A 20,716-nucleotide genomic window follows, 5' to 3' on the forward strand; every position below is an offset into this window, starting at 1 on the left:
GGGAAGCCGAGGCCCGGCGCCGCATCCTGCCGCCCGTTTTGCCCGCGGGGAAGCCGAGGCCCGGCGCCGTATCCTGCCGCCCGTTTTACCCGCGAGGAAGCCGAGGCCCGGCGCCGTATCGTGCCGCCCGTTTTGCCCGCGGGGAAGCCGAGGCCCGGCGCCGTATCCTGTGGCCGTTTTACCCGCGGGAAAGTCGAGGCCCGGCGCCGTATCCTGCCGCCCGTTTTACCCGCGAGGAAGCCGAGGCCCGGCGCCGTATCCTGCCGCCCGTTTTACCCGCGGAGACGCCGAGGCCCGATGCCGTATCCTGCCGCCCGTTTTACCCGCGGGAAAGCCGAGGCCCGGTGCTGTATTCTGCCGCCCATTTTACCCGCGGGGAAGCTGAGGCCCAGTGCTGTTTAATATCTTACTCATGTTCACTTGATGAGAAAGTGACAGATCTGAGACAAACCCAGGTATGAGGCTGCAGAGCCCTGCTCTGAACCGCTGAGTCTGTCTCTTTTCTTGGGACAGGGACAGCTTCCTGTGGTGACAGCCTTGCTCTTGGCTGCAGGGATTAAGGGAGGAATAAAGCTCGGGGCTACAGCCAGCCCATCCGGGATGGGGAGCTACCACAGGGCAGCAGGTTTAGCTCTCACTGCTTTTCTGACCTGAGTATGCCTAGAGAGGGGAGCTCAGAGCCATGGAGGAGCAAGGAGAGCCTTGGGTCCTACAGCGGCTACCAGACCTCTGCGTGCAGTTCTCGCCCTGGGCAAGCCCTCTGTGTGGGTGGGTGGGTGGGTGGGTGCTGCCAGGACAGGCCTCTGGGAAGACGTGGAACACTGACGGAAGGAGGGAGGAGGGCAGAAGCCAGGGTGTTTGCTCCTCTCTCCCGTGGCCTGGGATGGGGGTCTCGTGCACTGATGTGTTTCCCTCACCACTCCCGTGGCACAGCCCCTCCCCCTTTCTTCCCCGCTCCAGCCAGCACACCCCTGACTTGACTCCACCTTCAGCAGGATGGCCTTGGCGTCTGTGTCCTGGCAATGTCACCCTCCTCTCATTTCTTCTTTAGTTCTAGAGGTTATGACACCAGCCATGGAAGAGCAGAGAGGCCAATGAGGTGGGGAGGTTGGAAACAAAAGGCCTTCTCCACCCCAGCTTGACCAACCCAAAAGCTGGAAGGCAAGGAAGACCTAGGTGGGTTCTGTTTCCCTGAATAGACCTTGACTCATGGACCCTCCATATGGCCAGAAGGTGACCCAGGCCTGTTAATCAAAGGCCCGCACTGCCCTCTTTGCAGCCACTGATTCAGGGTAGGGCATGTGGGTTAATGAAGCCAATCATGAGCAATGGGACTGAGCTCTGAGTGTTTTGAGTGTTTTGGTTGAATTGAGTAGGGGCTGCCTCTCTCTGTCCACTTCCATGTTGTGACATGGTGACAAGGAGCTGAGGCAGAGCAGCGTCCCTGCAATGCTACCAGAACAAGGCTGGTTCTGAAGGCAGAGCTCCTCTCCCTAACTTTGCTGATATGCAAGCAAATAACTTCCTTTTTAAACAGAAGCCAGTAGCCAGTTTGCATGGGATTTTATCACCTGTAACAGAAGAGTCTTTTTTTTTTTTTTTTTTTTTTTTTTTGATGGAGTCTTGCTCTGTAGCCCAGGCTGGAGTGCAGTGGTGCAATTTCAGCTCACTGCAACCTCCGCCTTTCAGGTCCTGATTCGAGCAATTCTCCTGCCTCAGACTCCTGAGTAGCTGGGATTACAGGCACACGCCACCATGCCCAGCTAATTTTTGTATTTTTAGTAGAGACGGGGTTTCACCATGTTGGCCAGACTGGTCTTGAGCTCCTGACCTTGTGATCCGCCCACCTCAGCCTCCCAAAGTGCTGGGATTACAGGCCTGAGCCGCTGTAGCAGCAGAAGAGTCTTAACAGATATTGTTCACTTCCTCACAGTAGGAGTCACCCAGGCAATGGGATGATGTGGGAAGGGCATGCGATGCTCTCAGGTGAAACTGGTCCTGTGCCCACATCTCGCGTTAATTTGTTAACTGACCTTGAGCAATCCACTTCCTTCTGTGGACCTCATCTCCCACCCTCTCCTGTAAAACGAGAGGGGGGCTCTCCTTCCTTCCCCAGTCAGCAGCCCTACAATCTACAATGGCAGGAACGTGTGAGTGCTCCTGCTGCCACCCCCGCTCAGCTTCGATGGTGCCCCGTTGTCCACCACACAGCTCTTCTTAGATGCCCTTTTTAAAATGAAATGCTTGCACTTAGCCACACGTATCTTACAAGGAACAAATTCATTGATGGTTGCATTTCTTAGGGACTGGACAACAGTGTGTCATAGGCCTGGAATCTGAGGAAAGGGGGAGAAATGCAAAAAGGTGCAAAAAAGGTGCAAAAAGGGCCACTAGACTTGACCAGCCTCACCGTTTTCACAGAAACTAGACTGAACAAAAAGAAAGTGCTCACTGGCCTGATAGAAGACACGCACTGTTATCATCAATAAGAATGGACTTATGTATTGCTAATGTTTACTATGCAATTAACAATTTCCGTTGACTGTGTGAAGCATCTTAAGTGCATTTTAAATTTGCTCCTCCCAAAAGGGTACATGGGCACTGTCTTTATCCTCAAGTCACAGATGAGAAAATGGAGCCCCAGTCAGGTATTAATTAATTACTCAAGGTCACAAAGAGAGAAGCCAGGTGCCCCAGCAAATCGACCCTGAAGGCAGAGTCCCTGCCCTTCATCCTCCTCCTCTTCTTGGGGATTTTCACTGACTTGGAAACATTCTCCTCTGCTCCTGAGGATGGCCTGAGTTTATCAGAATGGGTGTATATTGGCAATTCTCCTAACATTTGCTGAATCTTCATCAAAGATGCCAATACTGTCTGTCAAGCCTGCAGTTCCAGTGTGGCCCCTCTGCCACCGCGCATTCTCCTCGGTTCACTTTCAATTGCCTTTTAATGGGAGAGAGATAAAGTGAAATTACAGCCTTGGGTAGCTTCTTACTTGGGAGGCTAGGAACAGCCCGGCCCTGTGCATCACTTACTAAAGCTGCATTTACAGTCCCGAGAGCGAAGGGACAGATCGCAAATCAGATCATTTATTGCTGCTGCTAGCTCAGCGAGGAGAACATTCCCAAGGTGAGAGAGGTGGAGGCTCTGTCCGTGAGTAAAACAGTTTGTGTGTCCTGGGCTCTGGAATCCCACCCATCCCCTGGTGGGTCATTTTAAGTGGTAAACTTCCCAGGAGCTGCTTCAGCAGAATCTGAGCGGAGAGCCTTGGAGTGCTGAGAAGAACACGTGATTTGGAGGTGGGGTCTGAATCTTGAGTCCTAGTGCTCATTGGCTACCAAATGCTTATTGATGAAATGTAATTTCAGAGGAACCTTCTTCTGCCATTTAAAAACAGAAATTTAAGGGAAGGACTCTGCTAACTCCTCCAGGTTCTAAGAGGAGGAGCATATGGCAGTTCTGAGCAGACACTTTGGAATCTGGCAGAGCCAAGTTCAGCTCCTGGCTCCCTGACTTATAAGCTGAGACCTTTGCTGGACCTCACTCAGATTCTTCTACTGCAAATTCGTCTTGTGATATCAACAAAGGCATTTACATGTGCCCCTAGCACAGAGCCTGGCATCCAGAAGTGTTCCATAAGCAGCAGCAGTTATTGTGATGATTATTACTGTGACTATTATTAAGAGTTTGCCATTCTGCAAATAGTTGCCTTTTTTCCATTCCTTTAGCACCAGGTGCCTTTGGGCCACCAGCTGCCCTTCAGCAAGCACTGCTCAAGGGTTCCAGGAGTTGCAAGCAGCCCTCATTCTCTTTGGTTCACTTTCAATTGCCTTTTAATGGGAGAGAGATAAAGTGAAATTACAGCCTTGGGTAGCTGCTTACTTGGGAGGCTGGGAACAGCCCGGCCCTGTGCATCACATACTAAAGCTGCATTTACAGTCCCAAGAGCAAAGGGACAGATCACAAATCAGATCATTTATTGCTGCTGCTAGCTCAGCGAGGATAACATTCCCAAGGGGAGAGAGGTGGAGGCTCTGGCCGTGAGTGTAACAGTTTGGTCCCAGGGCTCCTGAGGATCATACTGGGCAATGCTAGCGATATTGGCTGAGGAGAGCAGTAAACGATGACCCACAGAAGCTTGCTCTCTCTTCTCTCTCTGTGTTGTATCTCTCTATATTTTGCTCATCCATCAATCTATGTGTGAGATGGGGAGGCTCTCTGACCAATAGTCTTCAAAAATAAAATGCAATTTGCCAAACAAACAAAAATGACTGAAGTATATGAAAAGGCCCCAGGCTTCCTGCAGTATGTGTGACCTTCTGGGCTCTCCTAGTTTTCTTGTGGGGGAAGATATCTTAGGGGAAGCAAAACTGTTCTCCTCCAAGCTCCAAGGGACCTATTGCAGGAGGTTCCTTGCTTTATTTCCTGGTAGGATCTGGCCATTGAGTCACTGAGAGACCGTGGAGTCTTCATAGACCAAGACCATTCTCTTCATCAAAGTCTCCCTATTCCTGTTGGTGAGCATGGGGCTTGGGACAACACATAGTGCATTCCAGTAGAAAGTATTTACTGAGTAATTTTTGTGAGTCATTATTGAACAAGTGGTGTATTCAGAATTCAGAAAATGTTGTAGGTCCCTTCACTGTCCCCCTGTATGTTCTGTATGTTATACTTGTCTTATGTATGATATCTACATAGGGTGAAGACCCATCAGAGGTTATAATTGTTATTTTCCAACATCCAGCAGATTTTTTAAAACTCAGGAGGGGAACTGGGCTGGGCACCATGGCTCACGCCTGTAATCCCAGCACTTTGGGAGGCTGAAGCCAGTGGATCACTTGAGCTCAGGAGTTCAAGATCAGCCTGGGCAACATGGTGAAACCCACATCTCTACAAAAAATACAAAAATTATCCCGGTGTGGTGGCATGCACCTCTAGTCCCAGCTACTTAGGAGGCTGAGGTGGAAGGATCATTTGATCCTGGGAGGTTGAGGCTGCAGTGAGCCATGATGGTGCCACTGCATTCAAGCGTGGGTGACAGAGCGAGACCGTGTCTCAAAACAAGCAAACAAACAAACAAACAAACAAATAAACCTCAGGAGGAGAACAATCTGTTATACTTACTCAGATTGTTACCATTTCTGTTGCTTCTTCATTCCTGATTCTTCAAGTTTCCTTCTTTTTGAAGAACTTCCTTTAGTACTTCTTGAAGTACATGTTTGCTGGCAATAAATTCTCTTAGTTTTCCTTCATCTGAAAACATCTTTATTTTGCCTTTATTCTGGAAGTGTATTTTCTCTGGATAAATCCTGGTTTGAACATCCTTTCCTTTCAGCACTTCAAAGGTGGTGTGCCATTTCCTTCTGACCTCCATATTTTCTGATGAGAAATCTGTAGTCATTCAGATCATTGTTCTCCTACAGGTTAAATAGATTGCATTTCCCTGTCAGTTTCAAGATTATTATTATTAGTTACTTTAATTTTCACCATTTTGATTACAAAATAGTGAAATATTTGATTACAATTTGAATACAAAATAGTCTGGGTGTGGATTTCTTTGGGTTTATCACCTTTGGAGTTTGCTGAACTTCTTAATTTGCAGGCTTATATCTTTTGTGAAATTTGGGAAGTTTTTGGCCATCATTTCATTACATATTTTTTCAGCCCTGCACTCTTTCTCCTCTATTTCTGAAACTCCAATGACTAGAAAGGAGGCATCTCCTCCTTCAGAATTTTGGCTCTTGTGGGAACCTATTTCTGCCACTGATTATTGCTTGGGGGCTGAGAGAATGGAAAAAAGAAAAATGTGGGGATTTCTGCACTCTCTCAGAGTCCTAGGAGTTTGCTTTCTCACTCCCCAAGCCAGACCAGAGGCCTCCCCACTGATTTCTCTGTCTGAGTCCTGATGCCCATGTCCAGGTCTCAGGCTGTGCTGGTATCAGGCTCGGGGGTCCAGAAGGAGAAGAATGGCGAGCCTGCTGCCCACTCAGTGGCACTTCACATTCTGGTCTTCTTCTGGATTTGCCTGCCACTGTCTACTTTCAGAGCTCACAAATAGTGCTCCATGCAATTTTGCCCAGCTTTTATTGTTACACTCACTGGGAGAGACAGGGTAGAGCCCTGCCTTACCCAGGGTTCTTGCCTGGTTCACTTTTAATACAAAACCTATCCATGCCCAATGTAAAGTCAAGCTCAAATGACACAGAAGTAAGTAGAGTAACAGGAAAAAAAGAGGTCATTTTTTGCCATCTCGCCCCCTAAGGATAGGGCCTGTTGATGCTTTTGTATGATTTTCCAGACTTTTCTCTCATGCACATGCTGGCATCCTTGCAGGGAGCAGTCTGGCCTCTGATGGTCAGGGGTGCAGGCTGTAAACACCAGAACGGCAGGTTCCTGAATCAGTGCCTATAACTCTGGCAAACAACCTAACTTCACCAAGTCCAAATTCCCACTGATGTAAAGTGGGAATCATAATGCCTGCCCCTCAAGGAAGTTCTGAGGGTAAGAGGAGCAAAGGCACATTGTAGTTGCCTAATGAATGTCTCCATGTCATCTGATCTATACATAGAGAGAGCACATGCTCATTTCTGGGTATGGAGACAGACATCGCTTGCTGCGATAAAACCACAGACGGTTGCTCTTCTCTCCCTCTGCTTTGTCTTGGCCATCTCTCCACATTAGTAGATAAGATTGTCTTACTCTCTGGGACGGCTCCAGGTGACATTGTTGCATGGACATGAAGTCGCTTATTTTCTCTGTTGCCTTGGAAACCCCATTTCCTGAGAGTCTTGCCCTCTGTTCTCCCTCTGACAACAGAGGGGCAACCCTTCATCCTCTGTGTGTCCCCACGCTTTTCGATAAGCAGGGGTCATTGGGAAGAAGCCACAGGAGAGTGGGGCCAACAACCCCCGAGAGAGCTTGCCATTCTCTGTTTTAATTCATTGAGGTTCTTGGCTGATGCTGTCTGGATTGGAGGGAAGGGATTCATGTAAGTGTACATTAAGGATTCTAAGATGTGTGTGTTACATAAACTGCAGGGCAGGTATTGATTGGTTTGCTTCCAAGAGTGTGGGGCATCATCTTTTTCCTGGACCAGAAATGACTCCCTGTGGGGGGTTCTTGTTCATTCCAGGAGAAGGGTTGAGGTCCTTGATGGCTTTTCTGGGGTGCTTACCAGGGGTGCCCTGGTGAGTGAGGGGCACTTACCACCAGGAGGTGTTCAGAGACTTGGCATTAAGTAACCATCCACACAGTAAACGTTCGTTCTTCCTCTTCAGTTCCATTCAGTCCTGAGAGCCTCAGAGAGTGTCTCAGACTGGGGCTCAGCCGCCTCTGTGGCTCTTGCCATTTTCTCTTTCTTAACAGGGAGAATGGACCAGAGGCCCAGAGGTGTTGACAGCTGCAGTACCTCAGCAGAATATAATAATATTCATTGATTTTCATGGTATTCCTTTTTTTGATTGTTTTCTATTTGTGGCAAGTTTCATTTTTAAGTGTATTTATTTTCATTTGAAAGCTGAGATAATTTGAAGAAAAATATGAAGTAAACAATGTGGTCCTGGTGATATGCGTGTAGGGTATGATTCATATAGGGGTTCCCTAGACGATTTAAGTTTGGCAAACATTGAACTAACATGTGAATGACTGATAGCAGGGCTTTCCCTGAGAACAAGCTCACAAGGTAGATGGGAAGACTATGGGCAAATGGGCGCAAGAATGCTGTCCATAGATGGGGGGAAATCTCCATCAGTTTTATGCATTTTCTGGGAGTTGACCCTTTCTGCAGACTATCTGCTAAGGTGGGAGAAGAGGAAGGACACAAGCCAGGGCAGGGGGTGGACTGGACAGGTGATGGTGGCAGACAGACTGCTGGCTTTGCTGTCTTGTGGGAAACAGACTGGATAGGAAGAGGCTCACACTCTCCCGAGGGAGACAAAGTCTTTCGTAGCAGGTATCCGTGATTCTATTCTGTCTGGGACGCATTCCCCAATTTCTGGAGGGTGATCCTCTATTTTATCTCAGGGGAATATCCCTTCTCCACTCTTAGTCCATGTGGTGCACACATCACCCAGCTCAGGCAAGCTCACATATTCTAAACCCTTGGCCTCTGTGATTGGTGTAAGGCTGGGCTCCTTGCCCAACAGGGTCCCATGAGGATAAAGTCAGCAATGCTGAATGGCTTTCTGCCAGGGTTGCTAAGCTAGTGGGGGCAGGTGAGGAGCTCTCTGTGAACAGAAGGTCCTGAGATTGAAGCCACCACCTAGGAAGGAGGAACTGACAGAAGGAGAAAGGTCGAGTCCCAGGCATCTCCTTGGAGATTCTGGGCACAACTGGGACAAGAGCCCTCGTTTGCGTGAGCCAGTGAGTCCCTTGCATTCCCATCTTATTCTCTGAAACTGATTTGAGTTGAGTTTTTGTTATGAGCCACTCCAAGTCACATGTACCTACTGACCTACGTGGAGACTCTCTCGTGCTCTGCATGGCTGTAGCCATAGCTCCGCAGTCAGAGAAACAGGCACTGGAGTTGGGACCTGGACTCCCATTGCAGCTCAGCCATGTATGGGCCACAGGACCTTGAGCAAATCATTTCTCCGGTTGATGGGAGGGTGAAGTGAGGGAATCCATGCTAAGCTCCTAGTAAAATGCCGGCATAGACGCTCCGGGTGGATGTGAGCTGCTGCTGATAATGATGGTGATTAAAATAAAACCTCAATTATAATGAAATGTAATTCCCATGCGAATGCTGTTGCTCCCTTCCCCACGGTGAAGTGTGTGTGTGTGTGTGTGTGTGTGTGTGTGTGCGTGCCCACGTGTGCGTGTGGGGGAGGGGGCTTGGAATTGTGGCATCTACAATGCCAGGAGAAGCTTTCATAAGCCTAAGGCTGTAGTCCTTGTTCAGGGGTGGAAAGATGCCTCCAGTCGGTCCAATCTGAGTGACACCCACGTCTTTGGTAAGCAGCTGGGAAAGAAAAGCTCTGTCTCCTTCCAGATGGTGTGCTGCATTCCCATGGTTTTGGATCCTGCAACCACTCTTGTTCCACGCAGAGGCCAGCCTGTGGGTTAGAGAGATGCACAGAGAGGGACAAAGCCCGGAACAATCACAGAGAATCAAAGCACTCTGGTTATACCTTGCCTTCCCTAAGCTGCTGATGAATTAGCAGATCAAATTCCAGAAATAATTCAACCTTCCACTGTTTTTTTTTTTTCACGCACGTGTCCCTTTGCCAGGCAGCCTTGCTGTAGTGCCTCTGTTTAATATTCCATTTGTAAGATGGGCAGCTCCAAGTCTATGCTCACTCAGCTGCTCATCAAGAATAACAAGGTAAATGACAAAGGAGGTAAGAATGTCCTCGTCAAATGTCCTATGCTGTCACCTGCCAGAAAGCCCTCGGCAGTCAGTGTCCAAGATGGCTCCCCACGCAGGAATCTCTCTGAAGTGCTCTGTGATCTCCACAACTAAAACATAATTTCTGGCTCCAGAGAGCTCTGGGGCTCTGTTCCCTTGTTCAGCCCGTGCTCCTGGTCATCGTCAGCCCCAGGACTGAGGCTTGGACTGGCTCAGGGGCTGCTGTCTGTGAAAATCAGATTGATGCATCTGATTACATGGCCTGTTAACATCTGCAAAAAATAAGATAAAATAAGAATTATTTACCTGTCACAGCTTTGACACACCATCACAAACTGGAGCTGACACCTCTTCTGTTCACCTTGGAGAGGTGCAGAGTGAAGAGCAGACCGTGACACACTTAATAGATTGCTGGGCATTTACGGAGCTGCTTGTTACCCAGCTCAAGAGCCATGTCCAACTGCTACAGCGTTCATCAAAGACAAGAAGCCACAAGGAGCAAGTCAGTACTGCAATTCATTAAGGCAACTTGACCTCTGGGGAGAGGAGAAGAAAAAGGAACTAGCAGCATTGATTGCCTATGTTTCCTGAAGTGTGGTGTCATGGCATAAAATGACATTGAATCACAGGGTGAGAAAACCACGCATTTCAGCTCTTGCTTGGCCTTTGAAGACGACATAGGAAGTCTCTGCTGGTGCTAGTTGTCTTGAGCTTCTCTTTGACACCCTTTCCTAATGCAAACAGAGTGGGCCTCAGCATGGGAGCTTCTGCAGGTGACTCTGCTAAAAGGTTACTAACACTGTATAGTGGTGTTCCATCCATTTAAAAAATATACTTTAATTTTTAGAGTAGTTTTAGGTACACAGTAAAATTAGGTGGGAAGTGCAAAGATTTCTCATTTACCTCCTGCCCCCACCTACACACAACCTCCTCCATTATCAAGATTCCCCCTAGGGTGGTACATTTGTTGTAATTGATGACCTGACATTGACAGATGGATGACATATAGTTTGCATTAGGGCTCACCCTTGGTGTCATACATTCTATGGGTTTGGACAAATGCAAAATCACATATATCCCCCATTACAAGATCCTACAGAACACTCTCACTGACCTAAAAATCCTCTGGGCTCTGCCATTCATCCTTCCATCCCTGTAGTCCCTGGCAATCACTGGTCTTTTTATTGTCCCCATAATTTTGCCTTTTTCAAAATGTCATACAGTTGGAATCACACAATACAAAGCCTCTTCAGATTGGCTTCTTTCACTTAGCAATGTGAGTTTCTGTCTTCTCCACTGTCTTTTCATGATTGGATAGCTAATCTTTGTTTCATCTATTTTTAAGGTTATGCACCAGTTAAGGGAAGTGGTATAAGTTTTCCGTGTATAGGAGTGATATATAGTTTTCATGTTCTTTGATTTGAAAATTAACTTCCTTTAAATATATAATTGCTTTGTTTATTTTTGGCCAGATAGGACACTCACTCAGCTCAAAAATCAATGTAAATCAAAAGGTTTGTATTGAAAACTCTGCCTGCCATCTGTCTCCTGCCACCCAGCTCCTACCCACACTGTGTTACCACTGACTTCTGTTCATCCTTCCAAAGAGTTTATGCAAATACAACCTGTTATAAATATATGTTCTCCCTCAACAGTTTTCTACACAAATGGTAGCATACTTTATGAACTGTTCTGTATCTTTTTGGCATAACAGTATACCCTGGTGATCATTCCCTATCTGTATATTTCCTCATTCTTTTTTTCTGCTGTATAGAATTCCATTTTCTGGATGTACCACAGTTCATTCAACCATCCCCTACTAATGGACACTTAAGGTGCTGTGGTCTTTGATGCTGTAAACAGAGTAGCTGGGAATAGCTTGTACTTACATCGACCCACATGCATAGGAGCATATCTGGGAAGTGGCGTTGCTAAGTAAAAGAGAACATTAACTTCTAATTTTGGCAGACATTGTCAAATTGCCCTCCCTAAGGAAGTCATAGTTTTTTAATTGTTAAATGGTCTTATTATTTGTAGATCGACAGAAAAGAAATGAGTCAACGATGGTGCAGGTGATCTGTGCAGTGCTGTGCAGGGGATGGGTCAAAGCTGTGATGCTGGCATGCAACTAACTCACCATTGTGAGCCAATCACAAAAGCAGAAACTTGGCCAAGCTGGTATCTTTCTAGAAACAAACTTCAGATGTTTACATCTGTAACAAAGACAAACTTCAGATGTTTAATTTTTATTTATTTATTTATTTAGTTTTATACTTTAAGTTTTAGGGTACATGTGCACAATGTGCAGGTTAGTTACATATGTATACATGTGCCATGCTGGTGCGCTGCACCCACTAACTCGTCATCTAGCATTAGGTATATCTCCCAATGCTATCCCTCCCCGCTCCCGCCACCCCACAACAGTCCCCAGAGTGTGATGTTCCCCTTCCTGTGTCCATGTGTTCTCATTGTTCAATTCCCACCTATGAGTGAGAACATGCAGTGTTTGGTTTTTTGTTCTTGCGATAGTTTACTGAGAATGATGATTTCCAATTTCATCCATGTCCCTACAAAGGACATGAACTCATCATTTTTTATGGCTGCATAGTATTCCATGGTGTATATGTGCCACATTTTCTTAATCCAGTCTATCATTGTTGGACATTTGGGTTGGTTCCAAGTCTTTGCTATTGTGAATAATGCCGCAATAAACATATGTGTGCATGTGTCTTTATAGCAGCATGATTTATAGTCCTTTGGGTATATTCCTCAGGGATCTAGAACTAGAAATACCATTTGACCCAGATGTTTAATTTTTAAATGGACCAGTAGAAGTGGAAAGGAGGGACATGTATGTCTATACTCTGGGAGAGATGACAGATGCCCTCATTTGCCCCCAAATTGGTGCATGAGGGCAGGGCTGGGGTTGGGCTTTGGGTGCTGCATCTTGCACCCCTTAATGGGTGTGAAGGGTCCCAGGTGCTCAGGTGGGGCTGGCCACGTCTCCAGGGGACTTCTGTTTCCTGCTTGTCTTGCTGGAGGCCGGCTGCTTTGTCTTCTTCAATTCCTTGACATTCCTGATATTAAGCCCCTTCTTGGGCCAGTGTGAGTGGGCTTCCTCCCTTCTAAAGATCAGCCCGCCCTGAGACACTCGCTGTTTCTCCCTAGGTGGAAGCACCCTCAGTGGGTGATGCTAGAAATACCTGCCCGTCATTTCTACTTCTACTGGTCCCATTTTAAAAATTAAAAATCTGAAGTTTGTCTTTATTACCTTTCTAGAAAGGGACCAGCTTGACGAAGCTTCTGCTTTTGTGACTGTCTCCTAATGGTGAGTATTGAGAATTTCTTCTTATAGTCGCAGCAGTGAAAAGGAACTTTTCATCCAAAAATTACAAAACAGATTTATGTTGAAAATAATGAGAACTTTGTTGGTGCCCTGGAAAAATATTTGAGAGAAGCAGAGAGTGATTCCTTTTATTGGGCCAGAGTGTAAAATTCAGCTCATTGGTCTCAAGGGAAGAAAAAGTTCTTTTCTTCAGTTGGCAATTTGTTTTCAACAAAAGATTTGGAATGCCTTTTTCTTTTCTTTTCTTTTCTTTTCTTTTCTTTTCTTTTCTTTTTAATAAAGGAAGGATATAGTTAGTTGACCAGGAATTAGCTAGGGATTAAGAATTGGTTGGCTTGGCAATATTTCTACCTGCTTGCTGTGCATATACTTGAATTAACAACGGTCAATAATCAAAAGGGCATTAGAATGTGAGTTGGGCTGTGGAGGGACCACCCCAAATCTACTTCTCTGTAGTATTGAACCCAGGGGCCTCACTTTGCTTCGCTGCAATTCTGTGGTTTTTAATTTATCATTTCCAGGATCTGGGGGTTTCTTCAAGCTCCCAGACTTGCTCAGGCACATTGCAAATAGCCATGATTTGAGATGATTTTCTTTAATGCTGAAGCAGATGAAGAACCCAGGTTCTTTTTAGTGGCAAGGCTTGTTTATCAGCAGCTATACAGCTATGGGCACAGACACAGGTAAACAGCACAGATGCTGGGAGAGGGCTGGCATCTGACCGTGACCATCACGCCCATGTGACAAAGGATGTCACCACAGTGAACAGTTCTGACCACAGTGGCTTTTCACCTGCTTCGTTAAATTTAACTCACACCGGCTCAGAGGACAATTTGATTCATTCTGTATCTCAGCAGAAACCAGAGCACCTCAGAAGATCAAGGCTTCCAAATTCTCCTGGGGGAACAGACGTCAGCCATTCAGCACAAAGGAAACTTCCTTCTCTGTATGTCAGAGGAAGACATAATTGTGCCATTTCCTTCTTGAAGAAGTTTACAAACATTTGCAAGTTGTCAAAAATAATTAGTCTAAAATTGTTTCATAAACCGTGGAATGAAACAGGACGTGCCTTGTTGAGATCAAAGGGCTTCTGTTACCTTCTTGTAAACTCAAATGAAATTCTTTTGAAAGTAAACTCTTGGAATTAGCAGTGGTTTTTGTGGCACATGTATGGCAGGGGGAGGGGAGCAGAATGATTCAGATAGCAGAGTCCAGGGGAGAGCCGGGAGGAGTAAAGCCCTGTCCACAGAGAATGGGAATGGGTCTTGAACAGCCATGGTGATCTGTGCCAGTGGGCACAGGACTTCTTCAACGGGAAGCTCAGGCATTCAGGAAACACTCATTTCGGTGATCTTGAACTTGCAAGAGTGAGAGTGGGCATGGACACTCACAGTTCTACAAACAAAGTAAGAACTGGGGCTTGTGAGTCAGTCAGACTGAGTTTCCATTCCAGCACCGCCGGCTCCTACAAGCAGGCCCTGGAGAAGCCACTTCACCTCCGCGTCTCAGGCCACTCACCTCCAAAGACAGATGCAAACTCCGCCTCCCTCCTCGGTGAGAGGTAAGTGAGGTGTTGCCTGTGGGGGGCTCAGTTCAGTGCCCAGCCCCGAATAAGCTCTGGGGAATGGCCGCTCTGATACTTATGATTGTTCCTCATTATTAGGATGGAAACAAGCAGGCATTTACCGAGGGCTTATCGGTGGCAGATGCTAGAGGGGGCCTGGGACCTCGTTGAGAAATGCAGAGGTGTGCATCCTCTCCCTCAGGGGAGGTTGGATAGGAGTCCAGCTCCTAACATAACCGCACGGGGCATCAGCCCCACGGAATGCAGCTGTTGTGTGGCCAGGTCCTTTGGGCACGGTGCCCATAGAACTGAGCCTGGTGGCCTGGTGAGCAAGTGGGAGGGCATGTGAAGGCGGTGGTGAGAAAGCAGAAGCCTGGGGGGCTCCTGTGAGCCCTGCTTGAAGGGTCAGTAGGGGAGAAAGTGAGATGGTGGAGATGGTGAAGAGTTGCTTGTTGAGAGGAAGCAGATAAAACGGAGCTAAATAGCTGCAGTTTTCCCTCTGTCTGTGTGTGTATATCTGTGTGTCCTGCCCTTCCAAGGAGGAGAGAGAGGACAAGCAGGGATGAGAGGAGAGAATCAGGCTGGACTGTCAGTCTTTTCTCCCCTGGAGACCTTCAGGGTAGCAGGCTACAGGCCTGAAGCTGGCCTGAGGCCCTGGCTGTAGGACACGCTGTGTGGAGGAGAGCAGGTAGGGGAGAGAAACAGCATCTCTCCTATGTGTGCTGCCATGCAGGGGCCCTCAGAGAGGGCGCTTGGGAGACAGAAGCATCCCACACCACTCTCAGGTTGCAAGGACCCTGCTGAGAAGGGAAAGGTGGCCCCTGACAAGCACAGGTGGACACAGCCTGCACACAGTGGCCTGTCCTCCCCACATTGCATTACTCTGTCTGCTGGAGTCATGGCTCAGTGAGCTAAGGGCAGGGATGTACATTTCTGACCCTGTAAATCATATATTTGCTGTCACACAGGGCAACATTTATCCTTTTAATACAGAGTCTATCCCTTTCTCAATTAAACAATAATACTTTTTACCAGATTTAGACAAACTTCATCTGCTGAGTCATCAGATATTTACAGAACACTTACTCTGTGCTGGGTCCTCTGTGAGGTGCAGAGAGGAGAGCGGTGAGGAAGCGAGTCCCTGCTGCCCTCATGGGGCTCACAGTGCAAACTCCAGCTTGCAGGCCAAATCTGGCCCACTGCCTGATACTGTAAATAAAGTTTTATTGGCACACGGCCACACCCACTTGCTTATATAGTCTCTGTGGCAGCTTTCAGGCTGCAGTGGCAGAGTTTAGCAGGTCTGACAGCGATCATCTGGCCCACAAAGCCAGAAACAATTACTCTCTGGTCCTTTACAGAAAAAGTTTGCTGGCCCCTGGTCTACACCTCCCCTGTCCAAAAGAAATATAAAATGAGTTATGTGCCTAAGTTGATGTTTTCTAGTAGCCACATTAAAAAAAATAGAATGAAACCAGTAATGCTAGTTTCATTAATATTTATGTAACCCGATATGTCCAAAATATTATCATTTCAACATATCATCAATATAAGAATATAAATGAGTTATTTTGCTTTTTTTGTAAACTCTTAGAAATCTGATGTGGATTTTACACTTAAAGTCGATCTCAGTTGGGATAAGTCCCATTTCAAGAACGCAGTGGCACATGTGGTGGGTTTCTGCTAGGGCAGAGCTCAGAGGAGGGCCATTATATAAATCACTGCACACATGGGACCCCCAGTGAGGAACTTGGACACATACTGAGAGCCTAGAGTAGGCCCGGCACCAGGTACTCATCGCCCTGGAATTCTGTGGAGTAGGGGCGAGTGTCCTTCTGATTTTCTCATGAGGAAGCAGAGGCGTAAAGAGGTTTAAAAGCCTGTCCCAGGAGAAGCAGGGGCCAGCTGGGGGGCATAGAAAGGGAGCTGGGACCCAGCTTGAGGAGGTGGGGAGGCCTCCGGGGTAGTAGCATCATTCTTTCCAACCATAAAACATGCAGCCTGGGCTTCCTTCTTGAAGTTGTAGGTCCTGGAGCGTATTCACTTTGCATAGAGATCATTTGAAAAATGAAAATGAAAAGCAAATTGCATCCACGGTGTGCCTTCATGTACTCATCATTGTTTTAAAGCAGGGAGAAACAAGCTGTGGCCTCTTCATGTTCACTCACAGATGCTGCAGGTGGCTTAACTAGCAGAGTGGAGTGGCTCTTCAAGCCGCTAAACCAGCCACTACTTGCATTCAAGGAAGGTATTTCGATGGATTGAAAGCATTTTCTAAATCACTAAGGTTTGCTTTTCAAGTAGCAGAAAGCTTACCCCCGATTGCTTCAAACCATTAATACGCTGGGAAAAAATGTGTGTGAGCCACCGTAGCAGGCACGTTGTACTCTCCCCATTCCTCTGTCTGACAGCCGGTGTGAGTTAGTGCTCATCAAGTAACCCATATGGTTGCAGAATCCACCCATGGTCAGCACTGACCCTGAACCGGGAGCTGGACACATTGGTCTAGTCCGGGTGGGTTGCACAGCCCTGCGCTCAGAAGGGCCCTGCACTCCACTGAATTCTCTGCAGTTCTGACCTGAGATGCTCAGCACCTTTTCAACAAGGACCCACATTTTCATTCTGCTCTGGGATGGCAAGTTCTGTAGCAGGTCCTGCATCCAGTCTGTCCTGCTGCCCCTCACTGGTGGGGTCACTTTGGGCACCATGTCCAGCTTGTCACACCTCAGATGAGAACCACACAGTGCTGGGTGTTGTGAGCACTTGTGGAAGTGACAGGAAGGGCTTGGTGTGGTCCTTAGTGCACAGCAAACAGCTGGGAAGTGGTGAGGGCATGATGACACATGGTCCGCCTTGGAGTATGGCACTGAAGGGGGAGCTGGGCTGAGATGCTGTGTTAGTCTGGTTTTCACTGCTATAAAGGCGAACCTGAGGCGGGGTAATTTATAAAGAGAAGAGGTTTATTTGGCTCACAGTTCTGCAGGCCGTACAGGAAGCATGCCACTGACATTTGCTTCTGGTGAGGCCTCAGAAAGTTTACAATCATGGTGAAAGGAAAAGGGGAGCAGGTGTGTCCCATGTGAGAGGGAGAGCAGGAGAGAGAGAAGGAGGTGCCAGGCTCCCTGAAACAAACAGCTCTCACTCACGCGAACTAACAGTGAGAATTCATTCATTACCGTGGGGGAGGTCACCAAGCCATTCATGAGGGAGCTGCTTTCATGACCCAAACACCTCCCACCAGGCCCCACCGCCAACACTGGGGATCACATTTCAACATGAGATTTGGAAAGGACTCACAATCCAAACCATGTCAGATGGGCTCTCCATGCCAGACTCCTCACCAGCCCAAACCAGGCCCCAGCTCAGCCAGGCTGATTCTCCCTCTGGCCCTGAAGGACTCTGATTGCTTTACCCACTCCCACCTCCAGAATGCCACTGCAGCCTCTACCCTCTGCCTGGGGATTTTTCAAGATCTCTACCACTCACCGGCAACATTTGCACAACAGACGATTTCCTTTGTTGTGCAAACGTGATCACAAGCTCCTTGGGGCTTAAAACTCCCTGGGACTTTAAGTTTTCCTCAAGAGAAATGACAACTTTTTTTTTTTTTTTTTTTTTTGGTGATGAAGTCTCTCTCTGTCGCCCAGGCTGGAGTGCAGTGGGGTGATCTCTGCTCACTGCAACTTCCACCTCCTGGGTTCAAGTGGTTTCCTTGCCTCGGCCTCCTGTGTAAGAGAAATGACATCATTTTAAACATGGTTTGTAAAGCCCAACCGAAGGTGCCTCCTCCTCCACACTCATGTCTCTCTCCCTAACTCTCTGTGTTCCAGACAGACTGGATTTCCTTTTGTTGCCTTCCTTGCCCAGGGCCTTCATGCATGTCTATCTTTGATGACTCTCACTTCATCTAAGGCTTCTTCGGAAACTGCTCTCTTTTCAGAAGCCTCGTTTCAGAAGCTGCATTTAGCCTCCGACACATGGCCACAACCCTCTGCATCTTTCTCTCCACCACTCCTCATATCTGTCTTCCCTACAGGGCTCCAGGAAGACAGAGCCATGGGGCTAAACCTGCCAGTGCTGCTTCCTCAGTGCTTGGCACATAATAGCTGCTCAATAAACATTTATTTCATCACTGAGAAATGATGGCTTGAGATCTCAGTAATGTAGGAGCTACCCACAATGTCATTTTTTTTTTTGAGAGAGTCTTGCTCTGTTGCCCAGGCTGGAGTACAGTGGCATAATCATAACTGGCTGTAACCTCAACCTCCTAGATTCAAGTGATCCTCCCACCTCAGCCTCTCAAGTAGTTGGGTCTACAGCTGCATGCCAGTACCCTTGGGTGATTTTTAATTTTTTTGTAGAAACAGTGTCTCAGTATGTTGTCCAAGGTAGTGTTAAACTCCTGGCTTCTAGCAGTCCTCCTGCCTTGCTCTCCCACAGTTTTGGGACTACAAGCCTGAGACACTGTGCTTAGCCAACTCACCATGTCTTTTAAACATTCAACTTTCAGTTAAAGGGAACACTCAAGACATGTTATGAGGCTGGGCATAGTGGCTCACGCCTGTAATCCCAGCACTGTGGGAGGCCGAGGTGGGCGGATCACTTTCGGTCAGGAGTTTGAGACCAGCCTGGCTAACGTTGTGAAACCCTGTCTCTACTAAAAATACGAAAATTAGCTGGGTGTGGTGGCACATCTGTAATCCCAGCTACTCAGGAGGCTGAGGCAGAATTGCTTGAACCCACGAAGTGGAGGTTGCAGTGAGCTGAGATCGTGCCACTGCACTCCAGCCTGGGCGACAAAGGGAGACTCCATCTCAAAAAAAAAAAAAAAAAAAAAAGACATGTTACGGTGATCATATGAAAATGGACAGGAAAAGTGATACCCCCGCTCACCAGGGGACCTGAGGCAGAAAATCAACCACTCTGAGCCTGTTAACATCATTGGCGACAGGGAACCCAGGGTGCCTGGAATGGCCATCGCGCACATTCTCAAACCTTCAGGAACCACTGGCAGCAGCAGGGATGAGTCTCATCGTGTTTTATTTAATGCTGGTGTCACGGAGTTACTTATGGCCAAATACCTCAAGACAAATTGTGCATTTTGGAATTTAAAATACCTTTCCTTTCCAGTGTAAAACCAACACATCCTTATTCGAGTTCTGCAGCATTTGAATTTTTATGTATCCTGTAAAACTGAAAGCCCCTCCAATAATCCCCGCAATCCTCCAGCAACATTTTCACCATAGATCTATGCTAGCAGCAGGTTGTTAACGTATTTTACAAAATGAGATCAAACTATAACATTCTTGTACAGCTTGCTTTTTAAACTTATCAACGAATCATGGGTTCCTTCCTATGGGAGTACTTACCAACCTCATTCTTTTTAAGTTTTCTCTGTTACTCAGGACAATGAAATGACCATTGTTTACTTAACCAGTCCTCTGTTGATGGAGATATGGTTGTTTCCAATTTTTCATTATTATAAACCATGCTGCAAAGACCATTAAAAAAGTTTTCGCATAATTGAGTGAGGGATTCTGCAGGGTAAATTTCTTCCTGGAAATATAATTCATGGGCAAATGGCACAAACATTTTAAGTATTAATTGACATCGCCAAACTGCCATCCACACAAACTTGGGCAAAATGTACACTTTTAATGATCTGTGGAAACTTCTACCAGGGAGGATGCTTTTCAGTGGAAGTGGCAGAAAATCTAAATCAAACCAGTTTAAACAAACAAAATTGTATTGGATCACATAATGGGGAAGTTTGTTATAAGGGCATAAAGGATGCGATCAGAGCCTGGTTCTCTCTGGCTCCCTGCTTAGCTCTTCTGCGTGCTGTGTGTGTCTTCCTTCCAGGCAAGTTCTTTCCTCACGGTCACAGGAAGGCTGCCAGCAGAAGCTGGGCCACAGGCTCCAAGGTCCACATGAGGAGAATACAGCTTCCCAGCATTCCTGGCGCAAGCCCTGGGAGTCACTCTGATTGGACGTCTTTGGGTCACATGCTCACCATTGAACCAATCAATATGGCTGCGAATTGCAACGTAGGGGTTGGGTGAGCTCAGGGTCACATGATCTTGCATTTAGGGATGGATGTCGCCTTTGTCCACACCTTGTGGAGGAGATGGGGAGACTGGCCCGACTTCTTGAGTGTGTGGCCTGGGTGGCTGCATGGGGTCCCTGTTCTCAGAAGGGCCCTGTTCTTAGTTTAATTTTCTGCTGTCACCATCTTACAAATTCTTAATAGTTGTTGAACAAGGGGCCCCACATTTTCATTTTGCACCAGGACCCACAAATCGCACAGCCTAGTTGCTAGATGACAATGGGGCTGTTTCTAGAAAAAGGGGAAGATAGCTGAGCTGGGAAAATGTGAATGTCCTCTGCAATGGTCTGTGCTAACATGATTCAGATGGAGTTTCTCCTTGAGTGGTTTTGTCACTTGCCCTCTCTAGTCCTT

General features: G+C 47.2%; 1 long non-coding RNA gene across 3 annotated transcripts, besides 1 other annotated feature; it reads left to right on the forward strand.

The window, feature by feature from the left end:
• Window positions 1-140: 140 nt before the first annotated feature.
• Window positions 141-13,842, forward strand: LOC729296 (uncharacterized). Of its 3 annotated transcripts, none has more exons than NR_109917.1 (5): window positions 141-455; window positions 1,052-1,176; window positions 11,384-11,524; window positions 12,626-12,674; window positions 13,550-13,842. It is a non-coding gene; the product is annotated as an uncharacterized LOC729296 (long non-coding RNA). The 3 variants fall into 3 exon arrangements; NR_109916.1 differs by having other exon boundaries at window positions 11,384-11,418; window positions 13,214-13,842; NR_109918.1 differs by having other exon boundaries at window positions 11,384-11,418; window positions 13,547-13,842.
• Window positions 14,953-15,108: a silencer, noted in NCBI's record as "fragment chr20:58677553-58677708 (GRCh37/hg19 assembly coordinates)". NCBI's record gives its function as "represses an EF-1alpha promoter that drives an FKBP-Casp9 reporter gene in an ReSE screen in HepG2 liver carcinoma cells {active_cell/tissue: HepG2}" and the evidence as "EXISTENCE:reporter gene assay evidence [ECO:0000049][PMID:32094911]".

The sequence above is a fragment of the Homo sapiens genome, chromosome 20, assembly GCF_000001405.40.
Source record: "Homo sapiens chromosome 20, GRCh38.p14 Primary Assembly".
Taxonomy (NCBI): Eukaryota; Metazoa; Chordata; class Mammalia; order Primates; family Hominidae; genus Homo; species Homo sapiens.